The sequence below is a fragment of the Homo sapiens genome, chromosome 1 (assembly GCF_000001405.40).
Source record: "Homo sapiens chromosome 1, GRCh38.p14 Primary Assembly".
Taxonomy (NCBI): domain Eukaryota; kingdom Metazoa; phylum Chordata; class Mammalia; order Primates; family Hominidae; genus Homo; species Homo sapiens.
The window spans coordinates 51,425,431-51,446,295 of record NC_000001.11 but is presented as its reverse complement, the minus strand read 5'-3'; the positions used below and the strand labels follow the sequence as shown (position 1 = coordinate 51,446,295).

The following is a 20,865-nucleotide window of genomic DNA, read 5'->3' as shown; positions in this document are numbered from 1 at the left end:
ATGTATACTTTCATACCTTCACATAGGAATAACATACTTGGTCCTTGAAAAGGCAAACCCTAGTGTCTTTAATGAATTTCACAGAAAATGAGATAATGTATATGAAAATGCTTTATAGTTTGTCTGCCGCCAATCCACCTAACGATACCAGAGGTTATCTTCAGGTTTTCAAGAGGCAGAAACGTCACAAGTGGGGCCACATGGTTGTAAAGAGAAACTTAGAAAAGAAGGGAGGCAGACAGTAAGTAGATCTGCCTTAAAAGAAACAAGAACCCAAGACTGGGAAAGATTAAATATGCATAACTAGTAGTAGCTGCCACTATTGAGTGCCTAGGGTAGGCACTATACTCAATAAATGGCAGTTGTCACGGGCTTAATGTTATGCCTAAGCTTTTTATATATCCTGTCTTTAATTCTCATAGTAATTTCGCAAGATGGGTGTTATCATCTCCACTTTATAGATGAGGAAACTAAGATTTGGAGAGGTTAAAAAACTTAGCCAAGGTTATAAGAAGAAATAAGTAGAAAAGCTGGAATTTAAGATCTATGTGACATGTAGTCTTTTTACTTATGTAGTCTTTTCATCAGGCCCTACTGGCCTTCAGTGCATTAAACAGATCAGGATTTCAGAAAGCTGAGCTTTTTTTTTTTTTAATTACAGAAAAAGAAAGTAGAGTAAAACCTTTGCAGTTTCTCTTCAAGTGATTGTGTAAAGCTTTCCAGATTGCTGCCTTTTCCTCACATGTGATTTCCATTTGCAGCTGTTTATTCTGCTTTGGCTTGGTGATCCTTGTATCCTCCTACTCCAAGAGTTGCAGGAGGCATAGCAATATCAAAATTGTGCTTGTTTTAGAATCCTTCTAATGCCACCAGTGAATCAAATTTGTTGAGACTTAGATTTTATCTTTAATATCTTTTAATGTTAAAAATGTTGGGTGTAAGGAATGTTAGGATTCTTTGGCCCACCACAACTTTTACTGTATAGTGGTTCTGAAAATTGGTAAGAAAACACAAAGTGTAAACCCAGATTAGAGGCTCCTGCTCAGCACCAGGGTGAACATTCTCTTTTTACCATCTTAGCTGATCTACCTCTTCGAACAGTTGAGTGAGTTTTTAATAACCTGCAAGTTGGTGTGACTGTCTTTTTAAATTCACCTCATTATTTTAAAAAAGCTGCATAGTGGTACTTTTTCTCTGGACTTTTTGCAGTTGTGGCACTTACATACCATTCATTTTGTTTATTTGTGCAGGTCATTATGCGACACAAAGGACTGTGGGAAGCTTTCAAAGGATCAGTTTGCCTTGGCTTTTCACTTAATCAGTCAGAAGTTAATCAAGGGCATTGATCCTCCTCACGTTCTTACTCCTGAAATGATTCCACCATCAGACAGGGCCAGTTTACAAAAGGTAAGAAAGCTTAAAAGGAAACCTGAATGTATTAATTTCAAAGGAACAATACTATGTCGAATTACAGATTCAATTTGGATGAAATAGAAGAGAAAATGTATCTGGCTAAGAGCAGAACAGTATACTGTTTGTGGTTTAGTTTGTGCCTATAAATATGCTGGAGTGCCTTGTATAACATCCTTGGCCAGTAGCTTGTTTACCCCATTCATTAAACATGACAACTATATTTCCAGTCTTAAAATTGGAAAATGTGGGCTTATTTTTCCTTTCCTGGATTTGTGAATTAAGTTTTATGAATAGATTATAAAAGGAAAGCTATAAAAATTAAATTATTGTGTTTCACTTGATGATTCACTCTTACATAAAATGATACAGATTTGAAAACAGAATCTTGCATATGATGGTTGCTTGGTGTCAATTTTACATCAAAAAAGCCTCCAAGGAAAACATTATGTTGAGGATGTATCTGTGCGGTTTTTGCTGTAGGTGACCTTTTGTTCCTGAGTATACCACTGAACTTCATATTTGAACAGCTAGAAGTGGGTTTTACCTAGTTTTGGTTTCTGGACAGCAGTGAGAATTTTCAAAACTTCATTGTTTTAGTCATGCCTTGATTTTTCTCTCCTCATGTAGAAACCCTTCCTAGTATGATGCATTTGCAATATCTTGGCCTTTAATAGACCTTTGAAAGGACTTGCATACCATAGTGGCTATTTGCCTTTAAAAATAAATACTTTGTATTTTTAAATCTCTTATGGCCTATAAAGTATAACCATGGCTGTGGAGATTTTTCAGGGTTGTTATACAGTAATAAGAGTTGTCAAATGTGTGGTATGAGGAGAGCTCTTTAAAATATCATAGAATATTTTGGGTTTTGCATTAATTTTGTCACATGGTTCTTAAAAATCCCATTTTAAAAAGATTAATAAAAACCAAATTGGGACCAAGCACAGTGGCTCACACCTGTAAACCCAGTATTTTGTGAGTCCGAGGTGGGAGGATCACTTGAGGCCAGGAGTTCCTGGGCAACATAGCAAGACCCTGTCTCTACAAAACAAAAACAAAAAAATTAGCCAGGTGCGTTGGCGTGTACCTGTAGTTCTAGCTACTCGGGAGGCTGAGGCAGGAGGATCACTTGAACCCAGGAGTTTGAGGTTGCAGTGAGCTAAGTAAGATCCAACTGCTACACTCCAGCCGGGGCAACAGAGCAAGACCCTGTCTCTTAAAAAAAGAAAGAAAGAAAGAAAGAAAGAAAATTGGATTTTTTTGGTAAGCTAAATGGAATTTATAGCTACCAGGTATGGAGAGTTACTTATAGAAGTTTTTGTCCTTATTTGTAATAAAATAAATATTTTATTATCTGCTTTGTGAGTTATGGGGGGGGCCTTTTTGTGAATTTTTTGATTCCTTATGATGTATGACATGAGTCCCTTAAGTTGTGGAAAAGGCTGAAAGTGATGCCACCCAGAAGGATAAAGGTTACTGAATATGCATTTTTGCTCTTTGCTATATAACTGTACCTCAGTTATGGAATACTGTGTTGTTTCATGCTTTCTTTCACCTATGCAGACTGCTTTTTTTTTTTCTGCCTTCTTCATTTTATAACCTATTCAATTGCCTACCAACACAAATTTTAGATATGACAGAAATTTCTGAAGCAAATTAAAAGTTTGAAGTCTATGTTAGTAGATGCTTGAAGTTGCATGAGGTATAGTTTTTAATTTAGTAGATTTGTCTGAAGTTCATTCACTAGATCATAGATACGTTTGTCTATTTATGTCAGATACCAGTATTATTCATTGAAATGGGAATTTATCACTGCTATCTTATCTATTAACCCAAAATTTTAACTTTAAAAATGAAAACTTGCATTGTTTTATCTTTCAAATAACCTCTTTTCTCTTTAATCTGGTTTTTTTAGTACTGCATTTTTTGCAGCTTTGACTAATCCTTTTTTGAATGTTGCTTTCCTTTCTGTGTTTTTTCTAGTTTGGACTATTTTTTCCATTCTGCAGCACTCTGCTTTTCGCCTTTCTTGTACTGTCAGTTTCTTAACTCTACTCTCTCTCAAGGTTAGAGCTTTACTTTATGCCTTTTTTAGCTTTGTGGTTTTTGGTTTACAAGATACATTTTGAAATGAGAGGTTTTTTATTCAGCAAAAAAAAGAAAATTCCTAAACAGCATGCTTTTGTCACATGTCACTTGGTCCTTGTGTGCATTTTAGTCTGCCTTCCCTAGGCTCTCTGATCCACTTAACATCACCAAAGTAGAATTTTTGTGTAATGCACAAGAATAGGGTAAGAGAAAACATTTTGAAAGAAGGGGACATGCTACATATTTTTTCTCATATACCCTTCAAATGCTACATAAAATATTAACTAAACTTTTTTCAGTATCTGGGGTGTCACTTTCTAACTTGTTTGAGGTTAAACTAATTTGTCTCACTTTGTCTTCTTATTTGATGATATTTTTACAGGCAAGACTATAAAATGTGAGTCACCTTTTTTTGAGTTAGAGTGACAGAGGAGATGTGGTAGTCACAAGTTCTTTGGTACATTTGCACCTCTGATAGCAAATTTCTGATAGCATTTAAGTGAAGTAATTTACTCTTGCTGATAAAAGTGAGACCAAGTGCTAATGTTTCATTTTGTTTAGCTGTCTGGCCAGGCCTAGCTCATAGGTCAAGTTTAGATAGAGTTAAAATACTAGTGAATAATTGTCACATTCAGAAATCCACTTTAAAATATCTAATTTAATTTAACACTGATAAGTTTTTGTGTATCAGTGGAACACAGAAAATAGGAGGTATATTTCATACAAAGCTGTAATTAATATAAAATTGAGATTAGTATTAAACCTTTGTAGATGAGTTTTGGTACTGATAGTCAAAACAGCTCAGTACTAAAACTGCAGTGTGGCATAAAGAAATACAGAAGGAATTACTTGCCAAATTTTATTGATGTACCTGTTTTATCAAATTTACTTTTAGAGTAATAATTTCATTTACCGAAATGATCTTGATATGCAAGTGCCACTGGGGGCATTGCGTGAAATAGCACTTAAATCGGAAGACTCTTGATTAAACTACGTATTGGCTGGGTTCAACTTTGAGCAAGTTATTTAATCTGTTTCTTCAGTTCTAAGATGGGGTTAATAACAATATCTGCCCTACCTACTACCCACTTTTCAGATTAGTTTTGAGAATTAACTAGTGGAATTTAAAGTGCTTAGTGAATTGTAAATGAGTATATAAATATGAGGAGATGGGATATTGTGTGCTTTTAGGTTTCTTCTGTTGTGCAAGTTGTTGACGTAAATTAACTATACAACAACATAAGTATTAACACAAAGTCTTATGTTCTGTTATATAAAGTCAGCAGTATATCTTAGTTTTTAAATGTTCAGGCCTCAGTTTTAACATTTCCAGATGGTAATTATCCTGTTATTTGTTAATCTGGTTGTAGCATTGGGTGTAGATGAAATGTTTGAGGAAGCATTTATCTTTTCGCTCTGACTTCAGCTAGCTATCTGGGGCATCAGTGATAGTTTACAGAGGACATTGAGCCAAGGTAGAAACAACTCAATGGGAGGCCACATCTTTTAAGAGCATATTCTGTTGAAGAGTTAATTATAACAATAGCTTACATTTATAAAATATCACAGTTTGTAGACTGATGTCACATCACATTATTTCATTTAACTTGTAAAGTGGGCAAGGCAGAGATTATTTCCCTATTTTACAGGTGATGATAATGCAGTTAGTAAAATAGCAGGACCCAGAATAAACCCAGCTAGATTTTCTGAATACAAGGACCATTCAGAGACCAATTTTGTAACCTTCATTGTTGAAAGAAAACTGTATGGACAGGATGTCATATATGAAGACAGTTTCATATATGATGGTATTAATATTTATTATGGAACATGCTTGAGCAGTTGGTTTTACTTTAAATAAAATAGACACAGTATGTAACAAAAGTAAAAATTCCTTGAATTAAATAAAATCAACCACTACTGTAGGTCTGAGATTCAACAAAAATTTGTGTGTTTACTCTCAGCCAGTTTATACAAATACAAATAAATCACCATCAGTTTCTCTGAGAAATTTACACTTCAGTGGAGGAATTAGTTTATGAATCTGGCATCTCTTTTACTGCAAGGTTCTGAACAGGCTAGGATCAAGTGACAAAGACATTCGGATCGGAGGTGGGGATGGGGTACATAGTATAGAATAACAGTTTTCGGAGAATTTAAGGGAAATGTAAATGTCTTACTATATAATTAAGTATAAAATTATATATAATTGTACTAGATATGATTTTCTTAATTAAAAATCTCAGTAATACAGTAAAATATGCAATACCTTATATCTGCGTAGAGCTTTAATATTTTTAGTGTTTTGTCTTATATTACCTAATTTTATAGTAATGTATAATTGTGAACTTTTTGTTTTTAGAACATCATAGGATCAAGTCCTGTTGCAGATTTCTCTGCTATTAAGGAACTAGATACTCTTAACAATGAAATAGTTGACCTACAGAGGTATGTAAAGCAAAATTACAGCCTACTCACATACACACACACACACACACACACACACACACACACACAGTACATGTATATATGTATACAACTTCCTCCCCACACACACCTTTCTGTTTCTAATGTATATTTTGATAAATGCTACCTAATATTTGGTTAAGTACCACAGTTCTGTTTAAACGGAGTCAGTGTACTTCATCATATATGAGGCAACCTTTAATTGCAGGATACACTGTTTACTTATGTACCACTGAAAAGTCACTGCCAAATAAACAATGACGTGCCATTAACTATAAGGTACTGTTTGATTTCATTTAGAGAAAAATGCGAAAAAACGTATATCCTAGAATGACTGAAAAATAGTTTTTCTCCAACCTTAGATATTTGAATAACATATTAGAAAAACATTATCATTTAATACATTTAATAGATGGAATGTTAAATTCAGACACCATGCCAAGAGCTTTCATAATTGTTACTTGACCCTCACACAAACCTTGTAATTTGAGATAGGTGGTGGTGTTTCTGTTTTACAGGTAAGAAACTTAAGATGCTTAGATATTTTGCCCAAAATGATACAAGCTTGTCAGCTGCAGAGCTGATACCTGATCCCAGGACTACTTTATTCTAAGTTGAATCTTCTTTCTTATACATAGGTACTATGTAGAACAGACTCAAATACAATTTGATTTGAATCTGAGTATAGCAGATATTATTGGTACTTCCTTAATTTCCGTGTTCCCTGGAAACTTTATAGTAATACTGATTGTAAAAATGACTATAAAATTACTTTTTAAAAGTGAGATAATTTTTCTGTCTACAGGGCACTGTATCTAAATATTCACACCAGTCTTTTTCTTTTTTTAACCCTCACAACACTTTGAAGCAGATAATGGCTGATATACTTTATTTTACTGACAGTATTGAGATATAAGGAGATTAAATGAGTTAACTGCCTTATATGGCAATAATTTGGCAATGATCTTAACCTTATCTGTGAGACTATGTTGAGATTTCTGTAGAAAAACTGGTTGTTAGAATTTTTCAGTTGTAAGAAAGAACTAAACCCAAACTAAGAGTGAAATTTATTGACTTGTGAAACTGAAACCTTTCAGAGGTAGGGCTGGCTTAAAGCATTCCTTGATATTGAGGCTCAGATGATATAATCAGTTCTCTTGCTCTCCATTTCTTGTTTCCATTTCCACTGGGTTGATTCCATTCTCAGATAGACTTTCTCCTTATTTTGGCAAGAGGGCTATAGTACATCTAGCTACATGTACTTATAATTTCAAATTTGGTGAAGAGTGCCTCTCTTCTGGCATTTCCTGGAAAAGACCTGAAATTCAGTCTGATTGGATTGGCTTATTGGCCTTTTCCTATGACATAAAACTTCTAATATTGAAATCTGACCAGGGCAAAAAACACTTCGTGGTGATTGTATAGTTTAATTTTGTCCTTACTCACGGAAAAAAAAAAATCAAATCCAAAGTCACACATCACGTTAAGAGACAGTATTGGTATCAAAACCAGGTTGTATAAGTTCAGCATTCTTTCTGTTATACAATTCTGCCACTCATTAGGATTTTTAAATTTTTGACTTTGTTGCAAAATAGAAGTAGTAAACAATTACTGAACCTATAATGGTGTTTATACTGTTCATTTTCATGTGGTCCATAAATGGTCCATAAACATTTTTGCTTTCCTTATATATGTAATATACATGTTATAGTAGGTAGATTTGAAAATACTTATCATCTGGGCCTCTTAAGCCTATGAAAATGGATACATACACCAATGTTCTAGGACTTGCTTGATTTGACTTCAAGTGTACTTGTTTAATGTATAAAATATTTCTATAATGAATTTTAATGGGAATTAGAGCATCATAGAAAAAATGCTCTTACTGTTGAAAACATTATTTGTTACATTTTGGTCAACTAATCTTTCAATAACTTTTAGTAACTATAATGTTAAGTTGTACCAGTGGCAGTCTTATATAGTAAATGGCAGCTGACAGCATGAAAATAACATATCTAATATTTTGTGACTATCTTATTAGGAAAATCAGAGAATTTCAAAACCTTGTTAGTTTTTAGGGTATAGTCACATTTTATAAATGTGCGGTATATTTATACATGATTTGACGTTTGTGAAAATATTTTCCCTGGACTTTTATTTTAGATGAGATCTACAGTGTAGGCAAACTTATATAATCTGTCAACTCCATTAGTGTCATAGTCAGACTCATCCCCATGCTAAAATTATAGTTGTTAAAATACGCTTTTGTAAATAGTTGTGTTAGGTCATTATCACCAAGTCTTCAAGGTATTACATTATAAAAACCTTGGTTTTTATTCTTGTGAATAACCGTTTTTTCCATGCAAAGTTAAAATTCTTCAGCCTTTAATTTTTTTATTAATATATAAGGATGTGATGAGTATGACTACAAAACAGGAAAAAATAAACAGATTTCGTTTGTGGCTTTTGCTAAATTGTTACCTGACAAAATCTTAGCCAGTTCTTCATTTTCGTTTTGAGATGAAGATACTTAGTTTTAGTCCAGGGGCTGGGCGCGATAGCTGATGCCTGTAATCCCAGTACTTTGCGGGGCCGAGGCAGGTGGATCACTTAAGGTCAGGAGTTTGAGACCAGCCTGCCCAACATGGTGAAACGTTGTCTCTACTAAAAATACAAAAATTAGACAGGCGTGGTGGCACACATCTGTAATTCCAGCTACTCAGGAGGCTAACACAGGAAAATTCCTTGAACCTGGGAGGCAGAGGTTGCAGTGAGCCATTGCACTCCAGCCTGGGCAACACAGTGAGACTCTTGTCTCAAAAAAAAAAAAAAAAAATTTTTTTTTTTTAGTCCAGGGATCAAACCTCTAAGTAAGCAGCATGTATGATGTGAAATTGTAATTACTGTATAATGAATGTAGTACTTTATAATACTTTTTTCTTAATGATAGTTATAATACATATTCATTGTAAAATTCAGGAAATAGATAAATGCATAATGAAAAAAGGAATATATTTCTTAGAATCATATTTTGTTTTGAGCATTGCAAACCAATGGAAATATTGAAAGCTATATATAAACTTGAGTTAGTTGGGTGAAGAATGTTCTTTGTTATTGGTCAGAAAATGAGATTTCGTTGTCTTTGTTTTCATCTTTAGTTCACCAAATTGTTTCTAGTAGAAAATATAAGACATTGGGAGCTTGAAGTGCGAGATACCTTTAGGTATATTTTAAAATTTTTTTCTGTGATTTCTTCAACATTTGCTATTAATTAAATGATTTAATTATGCCAATTAGATTAAATTAGTATGATATTTTTAACTTAAGGAAAAGCAATACAGGTAGTTGTAATATAACACTCATCGAATATCTGAATCTCTTACTTGAGCTCAAGACCTGTATTTTTCATTGCCTACTAGTGTTTTCATCTGAACATCTAGTAGGATATGAATTCCCTAATTGTCCCCTCACCTCTGTTTTGTATCTCCCTTCTCAGTGACATCACCATTCACCCAATCACTCAAGCTAGAAACCTGAGATTTTTCTTCTTCTCATCTTTAGTCTTCTACCTTTGAAATGTCTGTTGAATTGATTCCTTACCTTCCCATCTCTTTTGTCTAATCAACTTCTCACTCTTCAAATCTCATCTTAGACATCATTTCCTCTGGGAGAGGAAGCCTTCCTTGATTTACCTCCCAACCTCCATACTCTCTTCAAGTCTTATTTAAGAGCCTATTTTATGTAGTCTTTATATTTACAACTGTTATAACACTTATCATTCTTTGTTATAATTCTGTGTTTTTTAATCTCCCACTAGATTATGTGCTTCTTAAACACGGGCTGCTTGTATCCCTAGTGTTTAGCTCATAATAGATGAGAAAATAATTTTTTCAATATTGTTGAAATCTGTCTTCTCTGTTTTCTATGTTTCCTTCTTAGTTTTAGCCTTTGTCTTTTATCTGGATCATGGCTGTAACCTCCTCATTGGCTCTCTGCTTTGAGCCTTTTCCTCCTTTGGACCATCCTACTTCCAACTGATATATAAAATACAACTCAGATCCCTCAGTGACTTCCCATCTCCAACTGAATCCAGTTCACTTCTTTGAACATGGTGTAAAGGCTCTTCCTTCATGGTGTTCTCTTGGCATTCTGACCGTTCTGTCTTAGCCACCTCTCACAGTATGCTGCCCTGTGGTACTAAAAAGCTATTTGAGAACAGATACAGTGTGTTTGCTCTTTGTACTCTGAGTGTTCAGTACAGTACTCGAATCTACTATTTCAGCTTTGTTCCCTTTCTCCAGTCGTATGATAGATGGGTTTATTACCTCTTACTTCAACATACCACCACTTTTATTCTTCTATGCCTCTGATCCTACTGTTCGCCTTTGCCTGGAGCATACCTTTTACCTTATAAAGTTTTGTTCATGTTCAAGACCCGTCTTAAATATTGTCTCTTCTGTCAAGCCTTCCATGAAATCTTCAGATTACTTTTCTTTCCTCTTCTTCCAGAGGCTTTATTCGTTTATTGTAGTATTTCTACTGTTTAACTATAGTAATTTATATTGCTTTTTTGGTAAATTTTTAATTCCTAAGGGCAAGAGCTATGTCTTGTTCATTTTGATAGGCCTAGAAATTAACACACACATTACTTAACACCGAGGAATAGGCTAGTTGGTTGAATGAATGACGCAAAGTATGTTATAAATATTAGAATATTTCCAAGACTTACTTCCTGCAAAGTTTATGGCAGAATAGAAGCCATGTGTTAAATGTTGAACTAAGGCAAAGACCTTCTGAATAATAGCTTATTTTGAAGACTATAGGAAAGGATTTTAGGCCGGACACAGTGGCTCACACCTGTAATCCCAGCACTTTGGGAGGCTGCAGCGTGTGGATCACCTGAGGTCAGGAGTTTGAGACCAGCTTGGCCAACATGGCGAAACCTCATCTGTACTAAAAATACAAAAATTAGCCAGGCGTGGTGGCGCATGCCTATAATCCCAGCTACTCAGGAGGCTGAGACACGAGAATCGCTTGAACCTGGGTGGCAGAAGTTGCAGTGAGCCGAGATCACTCACAGCCGAGATCACTCCAGCTTAGGCAACAGAGTGAGACTCAGTCTCAAAAAAAGAAAAAAGAAAAAAGAAAAAGAAAAGGATTTTATATATAAAAGGTTTTTGAATCCTCACAGGAACATTAAGGTTAGTGGGCTGATTTTTTTTTTTAAATATTCTGCAGACTTAGTTTTTCTTTTTTTTCACATGTTTAAAAATTGTGATAAAATACACATAACATAGTAATTTATCATCTTAACCATTTTTAAACATACAATTCAGTGGTATGAAATATATTCACATGGCCAGGCACAGTGGCTCATGCCTGTAATCCCAGCACTTTGGGAGGCTGAGATGGGTGAATCACCTCAGGTCAGGAGTTCGAGACCAGCCTGCCCAACATGATGAAACTCCGTCTCTACTAAAAATACAAAAATTAGCTGGGCATGGTGGCAGGTGCCTGGAATCCCAGTTACTCAGGAGGCTGAGGCAGCAGAATCGCTTGAACCCGGGAGGTGGAGGTTACGGTGAGCCGAGATTACGCCACTGCACTCCAGCCTGGGAGACAAGTGCGAGACTCCGTCTCAAAAAAAGAAAAAGAAATATATTCACAGTGTTGTGCAACCATCATCACCATTCATTTCCAAGACTTTTCATCTTACAAAACTGAAACCCCATACCCATTAAACAATAACTCCCCATACTCTACTCCCTCCCATTTTCCCCGCCCTTCCTCATAGCAGCCACCATTCTATTATACTTTCTATCTCTATGATTTTGACTACTGTAACTATCTCATATAAGCAGAATCGTGAGATATTTGTCTTTTTATGACTATCTTATTTCACTCAGCATAATATCCTCAGGGTTCTTCTGTGTTGTGGCATATGTCAGAATTTCCTTCCTTTTTCAGGCTGAATAATAATTCCATTGTACTTACATACCACATTTGTTTACCTGTTCATCTATTGATGGACATTTGGGTTGTTTCCACATTTTAGCTATTATGAATAACGCTGCTATGAACATGAACATACAAATACCATTTCAAGACCCTGCTGTCAGTTCTTTGGAGTATATTTGCAAAAGTGGAATTGCTGAATCATGGTAATTGCAGACCTGTTTTTGTGTCAAGGATTTCCTTTGAAAATCTGATGAAGACTGTTATACCCTGCCCACAGAAAAAAAGAACATGTATATCTGTGATACTATTTTGTATTTATTTCAGGAGTTCCCAGACACTTAAAAACTATCTGTGGACCCATTCTTGAGAGCTGTTGCTGTGACAGTAAAATGCCTCAGTTAGAGAAGTTCTTGGCAGTGGAAAAGATGAAACTACTAAGAGAGTGCTTCAGTCACTTGGATAATGTGGTAGTGGTAAATTATGCTGAGGCAGGAGTTAATATTTTGTCATCTACTAGCTTCCATTTCCTTCCTGTCTCTGTCCTTTTAGCAAGAACATCAGGAAGTTAAAGCCACATCCTGTCAGGCCTGTTTGTTATCCTGGTCTTGGGCCAGTAAACAGGATAGATAATTAGAATAATAGTTATCAGGCATTGTACTGTGCCTTCTTTATGTAAGTTCACTTGCTGAGCTCTTGTAACATCCCTGAAGGGTAATAACTTTATTTCAGTTTTTCAGATGAAGAAATGAACTAGTCTTCATTTCCACGAAGTTTTCCCTGATTATCTACCTCAGCTCAGAGAGCACTCAATTTCCTTCTCTCCCAGTAGATTCTCGACTCTGTGTGATGGCACAGGCCAACTCTTACTTCTAATGAGGCAATATAGTGTAGTATTTCAGAGCATGGGCTTTTTAACCAGATTTCCAGATTGCCTGACATGACCTGGATATACTTAACTATCTGTACCTCAGTTTATTTATCTGTAAAATGGAAATATGAATAACCATGTACAATGCTTAACGCAATGCTTGGAACATAGTAAGTTCTCAATACATGTTAGTATTTATCATCATCATCCCCAACACCGAGTTCAGCACTTAGAGTACAGGATTTACTCAATAGCTGTTCACTAAATATTGGTTGGAGTAGCTGAATGAACTTTCTTTCTCTAGTTGAAGAGTGAATGGAACTATGTAGCCAGGTAGCCAGATTCTGTGTTCCTAAATATATAGACCTCTACTTCAGTCATATTCAAGAACCGATTTTTTAAAATTTCTAAATCCTAGCATATGGTTCAAATTTTTAAAAATTCTATGTTTTTGTTTTAGTTCAGTTCAAATATCATTAGAAACCATTATGTCTGGAGAGTTCATTGCTTATATTATCAAATCTGGAGCTCTTTTGCTTATGATCCAACTTGATGTGTTTGTGACCCTCTAAAGATCTGTGACACTGACACTAAAAGGTCTCTTTTGTGACTCTGCCTTAAGAATGGTATTACTGGTTAAATAATTGAAGCTCTAGGTTGCGGTGTGCATTTCTTTGATAGTAAGGAGGCAGCCTAATTCATTTTCACATAAAGTGTATAGATCATCATTAAAACCTCTGTTTTGGGAGACTCTCCTTACTTGAAAACCTCCTTGCTAAAGTCTGAACCTGTGCTGTCCAGTATAGTAGCCACTAGCTGTGTGGTGATTGAGCACTTGAAATATGGCTAGTCCAATTTAAGATGTGTTGTTAGTATAAAATATACTGGATTTCAAAGATTTAGAATGAAAAAAAATGTAAAATATCTTAGTATTTTTCATCTTTATTACATTTTGAAATATTACATTAAAATAAATTTCACTCATTTCTTTTTATTTTTTAATGTGTGCCTGTTAGATCATTTAAAAATTACTTAGGCTGGGCATGGTGGCTCACATCTGTAATCCCAGGACTTTGGGAGGCCAAGGCAAGAGAATTGCTGAGGCCAGGAGTTGAGATCACCCTGGGCAACAAAGCAAGTCTCTATTAAATATATACATACATACATACATACATACATACATACATACATACATACATACATAATCTATGTGGCTTCTTTGTACCTGTTCTGAGTTAGAATTATTATACATTTCATTTGCTTGTACTGTTTTGTGGCTCTGGTAGCTTACTAAGGGACACTTACCTCTTTTAATACAGCAATAATTATTGAGATGTATTATAGTCTGTCTTTGGAAAGCAAAAGCATCTACCAAGAAATTTCAACTCCTGGAGGATTTAAGAGTCACAGTCTCTGCCGACATACTGGAGGCCTGATTGCCATCACTCCAGGTGCTTTATTACAGCTTTCAAAAAGCCAGTAAATGTATTTTTATACTAGTAAACAATGTAATGGTAATAATAATAATAGCTGAAATTTATTTAGCACTTAACTACATGCCAGGCATTGCTCTGGAGTCTTTCTAGATGTAACATAAATTAATCCTGCCCATCAACTTTATTATCCCTATTTTGTAATTCAGAAAGTTAAGGTTTCGTTTTATATTTCTTTTCTGTTAGTTTCTTTTAATCTCATTTTGTCCTGCCAGATAAGTAGAATAAATTATTATGGATTTGCAAAATAAATTTATATTTCTGGCCAGGCGCGGTAACTCACGCCTGTAATCCCAGCACTTTGGGAGGCCGAGGTGGGAGGATCACCTGAGGGTCAGGAGTTTGAAACCAGCCTGGCCAATAAGGTGAAACCCCGTCTCTAGTAAAAATACAAAAATTAGTCGGGCGTGGTGGTGCACACCTGTAATCCCAGCTTCTCTGAAGGCCGAGACAGGAGAACTGCTTGAACCCGGGAGGCAGAGGTTGTAGTGAGCCAAGATTGCCCCACTGCATTCTCGCCTGGGTGACAGAGTGAGACTCTGTCTCCAAAAAAAAAAAGAAAAGAAATTATTTCACCTTTGTAAAATGAACCATCTGATTTTGGGACCTGCCACTAAGGGGGTGTGCTTTGTCATATAAGCCACACCCCAAAGTTTGTATTTTTTCTGATTCTACTTAGGCTCTCTTTTCAGTTACTTACACCCATAAATATATTCTCTTATTTTTAAAAATAAAACCCATTAAAAACAGCCAGTCTCTCAGAACTAAGTAAGAACATTAGTTATTCCCATAGTACCATCATACTTTCACAGAATTTATCTTTAATTTTTATAATTAATGGCTACTAATTTTCCCCAGCAAACTATAAATAGAGGCCCAACTACAATCTTGTTTGGAATATAGTAGACATTTAATAAATATTTGTTGAAAGAATGAAATTGTATCACATAAAGATTATATAATTAAGGCAAGTTTTATTTTTGTGTGTGTGTGTGTGTGTGTGTGTGTGTGTGTGTGTGTGTGTGTGTGTGTATGTAAGTAATGTATTTTTCAGATAGGGTCAGGCTCTGCTGCCCAGGCTGGAGAGCAGTGGCGTGATCATGGGTCACTTTAGCCTTGACCTCCCAGGCTTAAGCAGTCCTCCCACCTTAGCCTCCTGAGTAGCTGGGACTACAGGCATGTGCCATCATGCCCAGCTAATTAAAAAAAAAAATTTTATAGAGATGTGGGTGTCACTATGTTGCCCAGCATGGTCTCAAACTCTTGGCTCAAGTGGTCCTCCCACTTCAGCCTCCCAAAGTGTTCAGATTACAGTTGTGAACCACTGTGCCTGGCAAAGGAACTTTTAATTTAAAACTTATGGTAAGAATAAATGTCTTTGTTCTCAAACTTTAACCTAAGCTTTTGTGAACTACGAATTCTTGATTTTTTTTTTTTTTTTTGAGACGAAGTCTTGCTCTGTCACCCAGGCAGGAGTGCAGTGACACGATCTTGGCTCACTGCAGCCTCCATCTTTCAGGTTCAAGTGATTCTCCTGCCTCAGCCTCTCAGGTAGCTGGGATTAAGGCATGCACCACCGCACCCGGCTAATTTTTGTATTTTTAGTAGAGATGGGGTTTCAGCGAGTTGGCCAGGCTTGTCTCGAACTCCTGACCTCCAGTGATCTGCCCACCTCGGCCTCCCAAAGTGCTGGGATTAAAAACATGAGCCACTGCACCCGGCCATGAACTCTGAATTCTTAGAATGAAAGGTCATGTAACTTTCAAATTGTTTAAATTAAAAACGAAGACTTTCTCATCAGCTTTCTATAGTTATTACTGTAATCTAGCTCAAGGCTTCTGACAGTTCCTAAGATAAGCAGAGTCAGGGTGTTTTATTGCCTTTCTAGCAATTGTCATCAGCTTTCTGAGCGATAAGAGCCTCTGCTTCCTCTCTTCCTCCACAAGCCAGACAGGAAAGAAGAGCTGTGTTGCTAAATAATGCCATTCGGTGTTCAAAGAAGCATGTCTCAGAAACCTCTAAGGGACTCACCATTTCCTGTGTATTGAAAGTCTGTCTTGGCTGGGCACGATGGCTCACACCTGTAATCCCAGCACTTTGGGAGGCTGAGGTGGGTGGATCACCTGAGGTCAGGAGTTCAAGACCAGCCTGCCCAATAAGGTGAAACCCCATCTCTACTAAAAATACAAAAATTAGCCAGGCGTGGTGGCGGATGCCTGTAATCCCAGCTACTCGGAAGGCTGAGGCAGGAGAATCACTTGAATGCGGGAGGCAGAGGTTGCAGTGAGCCAAGATCGCGCCACTGCACTCCAACCTGGGCTTCAAAGTGAGACTTCATCTCAAAAAAAAGAAAAAAAAAAAAAAAACCAACAACAACAGTAAAAGGCTGTCTTTACCTAGTACAGAAGTTCTTTATAATCTTTTTCTGATTTACCATTTCAGCTTTATTTAACCACACATGAACCTTCCATTCTAGGTAAGTTAGTCTGTCTAGAATTTTCTCATCTCTCTACTTTTTTTTCATTAATTTTTTATTATCATAAAATATACATAACATAAAATTTACTACTTTAAATTTTTAACTACTTAAAGTGTACAATTCAGTGTCATTAATTGTACACTTAAAGTGGTTAAAATTTTAAAGTGGTAATTTTTTTTTTTTGAGACAGAGTTTCACTCTTTTGTTGTCAATTTTAAATGTACTTAATGTCATTAAATACATTCACAGTAATTGTGTAGTTATCACCACTATGAATCTCCAGAACTTTATCATCCCAGACTGAATAATCTAATTGGAATTGATATCAACTTACTTCAGTCCCATACAAAACTGTGCTCCTGGCCAGGCGTGGTGGCTCACGCCTGTAATCCCAGGAATATGGAAGCCAAGATGGGAGGATTGCTTGAGGTCAGGGCAACATAGTGAGACCTTGTCTCTACAGAAAATAAAATTAGTTGGCTGTGGTGGTGCATACCTGTAGACCTAGCTACTTGAGAGGCTGAGGCGGGAGGACTGCCTGAGGCCAGGAGTTCGAGGATGCAGTGAGCTATGATCACACCAATGCACTCCAGCCTGGGAAACAGAGACACTCTGTCTTTAAAGACACAAATAAAATTCTGGTCCTATACAGCTCCATTCTCTCCTCTGCCTTACCCTCACTTTTTTTTTTTTTTTTTTTTTTTGAGATGGAGTCTTGCTCTGTCATCTAAGCTGGAGTGCAGCAGTGCAATCTCGGCTCACTGCAACCTCTGCCTCCTGGGTTCAAGTGATTCTCCTGCCTCAGCCTCCCAAGTAGCTGGGATTACAGGCGCCTGCCACCACACCCAGCTAATTTTTGTATTTTTAGTGGAGACAGGGTTTCACTGTGTTGGCCAGGCTGGTCTCGAACTCCTGACCTCAGGTGATCCATCCGCCTCAGCTTCCCAAAGTGCTGGGATTACAGGAGTGAGCCACTGCACCTGGCCCATTCTCACCCTGTTATGTTATTGATGTCACAAACTGTATCAGAACTCCCCCTGTTATGTTATTGATGTCACAAACTATATCTTTATACATTGTGTATCTACTAACAGATTCATAAATTCTTTTTTATGCATTTGTCTCTTAAATTCTATAGAAAGTATAAAGTGGAGTTGTAAACAAAAATTACAGTAATACTGGTTTTTACATTTGTCCATGTATTTACCTTTACTGGAGATCTTTTTATCTTCATATGGCTTTCAGTTACTGTCTAGCATCCTTTCATTTTAACCTGAAGGACTCCCTTTAGCATTTATTGTAGGGTAGATCTAGAAGTAATGAACTCCCTCAGCCTTTGTTTGTCTGAGAATATTTTAATTTCTCCCTCATGTTTTTGAAGCACAGTTTTGTCAGGTATAGAATTCTCAGTTGACAGGTTTTTTTTTTCCTTCCAGCACTTTAAATATATCATTTCATTGCCTTCTGACCTTCAAGTTTCTGCTGAGAAATCCATTGATAATCTTATTAAGGATTGATTATATGTCACAAATTGACAAGTTGCTTTTCTTCTTGCTTGCTATTTTAAAGATTATTGCAACAGTTTGATTATAATGTGTCTCAGTGTGAGTCTTTTTGTGTTTATCCTACTTGGAGTTCATTGAGCTTTTTAGATCTGTAGATGCAGATATTTTATCAAATTTGAGTTTTCTTCTTAGTCTGCTTCTTACTGCTGTTTTGCCAACATCTTCTGTGCTTTCTTACGTAAGCTCTCTCTAGTAGAAATACCATTTTCTTACCTGACATTTACTCTTTCCTTCAAGGCTTAGCTGAAGTCTCTCACCTCCATCACACAGTATTCTCAGACTGGAGTAATTTATATTGTAAATATGACATTATTATCTGCACAGCTCACTTTGCAATTAATCATCCTGCCTTCAGTGATACCAAGGAGGCCTTTTCTGACCTCCTTCAGGGAGAGTCAAGTTCCCATTCTCTGTGTTCCAATAGCACCTTACCTGTCCCACAGTGCTTACCTGTTGTAGCACCTAGTACACTGCATTGTAATTATCTCTTTATATTCTTATCCCCAACCCCTCACACCAGGTGTGTGTTCACATACACTGAATTAAGAGCTTCTTAATGACAGGTGCCTATCTCACTGGTTTTATGTACCTCCTAAGTATAGCATAGTGACAAGTATGTAATAGGATTCAGTATGTGTTATTGAGTAAGTAGATAAGTTGTATAGTGGTATATTAGGTTTTATTGTGTATTTTCCCTATCGCTCTTCATAGCAATCCCATATATGGTTTGTAAAGTAGATATTCATTTTATAGCTGCAGAAACTAGAGCTTATAAAGAGTTTGTTGGTGTTTAACTTTTTATTTAGCATCTACTATGTAAACTGGGTATGCTGGCATAAGTTATGTAATCCTGTATGCAGTTGTGAGATACAGGTTTTATTATCCCTCTTTGAAGAGAAGAAAACGGAGGCTTAAAAAAGATGAAATGACCTACCTAACTGGAGCTGGTTTAGGCAAAAAGAATTTGATGACCCCTATATAATTGGAAGAGTAAAGGTATAAGTGGGCGGGAAGGAGGGTTAGAAAGAGAACAAATAGGATGTGTATATATATGTATGTATATATGTATATATATGTGTGTGTATATATGTGTATATATATATGTGTGTGTGTATATATATATATATAGAGAGAGAGAGAGAGAGAGACAGATTTATTTTAAGAAATTTTTAAGATTGTGGGAGCTGGCAAGTCCGACATCTCTAGGACAGGCTGGCAGGCTGGAGACCCAGTGAAGAGTTTATGTTGCATCTCAAGTTTAAAGGCAATCTGAGATAGAATTCCTTATTCCTTGGGAGACCTCATCTTTTCTTAATGCCATCAAGTGATTGGATGTGGTCTACCTACATTATTGAGGGTAATCTGCTTTACTCAAGCCTACCGATTTAAATGTTAATCTCACCTAAAAAATACCTTCACAGTAACATCTAGGGTCGTGTTTGTCCAAATATCTGGGTACTGTGGCCTAGCCAAATCAGCCCATAAAATTAAGTATGACAGGAGGTGACAGGAGCCAGGGCTTGCTACCTAGAATGCTAGCTTTTTATCAGTTCCAAATAAAGGCATCCTAGATGAAGATTCTGACTGCTTTGGCATTGGTCACAGGCTCATTCTTGAATTAATCTCTGTGATTGTGTGGTGGGGTACTTTGGCTAAGCTTCGACCAGGAGCCAATTTCTGGACAGTCATTGCCCAGAGAGATGGCATCTTCTGTTTGAACTATATGAGTAGAAAGACATTAGAAGAGGCGGAAAGAGAAGCAATCTCCTAAAAGGACTGCTGAACCCTAGAAGGAGAGAGAGTCGGTCAGAACAAATAGCTTACATCACCACTACAGTGATGTAAGGTGACTTGTGACAGAGTTTGTATTTAGTATTTAGTAACCTATTTTTCTCCAAATCTGATGGTTTCAAAACCATATAATGAATTTCTAAAAGTAGAGAGTAGATAGGTTATTTTGAATGATATTGAGATAAGATTTTGGGGGCAGAAATTTTAGTGTTTACATTATTTATTCTGTAACTATATTAGATCAGTGTTTTCTAACCTTTTTTATAACCCATAATTCCTTTTAACAAATTTAAAAACTACTTCACTGTTGTTTAAAATTCTAAGTAATGTTAATATTTAGGCTCAATATTAATTACTTGACATCTTACATATTTTGCCTTGCAAATCCTAAGATGATAGAGATATTAACATCCACATATGAAAAATAAGACTAGGGTTCTGAAAGGTTAAGTGACCTGATCAGAGTGAGAAAAACTATTTCTCAGAAGAGCTAGATTTTTCTCTGTTTGCTTGTGAGAGAGATTGACAGTTAAGCTACTTAATGATACCATTTTTATGGTGAAATGTACTCCAAGAGAATTTTTATAAATAAGTTTCAGGATTGGAAAATACAGCTTTGTGAGTTTTCACAACTTTGTAGTTTCTAATAGTTTCTAGTTTTTAATGTTTTCTGGTTACGAAATAGTGGATGCTGCTGTTTAGGAAAAAAGACATAAAACTGTGTTTCTGGGAAGGACTTTGAAG

The 20,865-nt window shown here is 36.2% G+C and overlaps 1 protein-coding gene across 7 annotated transcripts in view; it reads left to right on the top strand.

Moving 5' to 3' along the window:
- Positions 1–20,865, top strand: part of EPS15 (epidermal growth factor receptor pathway substrate 15) — a 165,004-nt gene that overhangs the window by 72,971 nt on the left and 71,168 nt on the right. For all 7 annotated transcript variants that reach the window (XM_017000618.3, NM_001410796.1, XM_017000617.3 and 4 more), the window contains 2 exons: positions 1,251–1,407; positions 5,864–5,949. In XM_017000618.3, the coding sequence (XP_016856107.1) occupies positions 1,251–1,407; positions 5,864–5,949 (243 nt within the window). The remainder of the gene's footprint in view (positions 1–1,250; positions 1,408–5,863; positions 5,950–20,865) is intronic.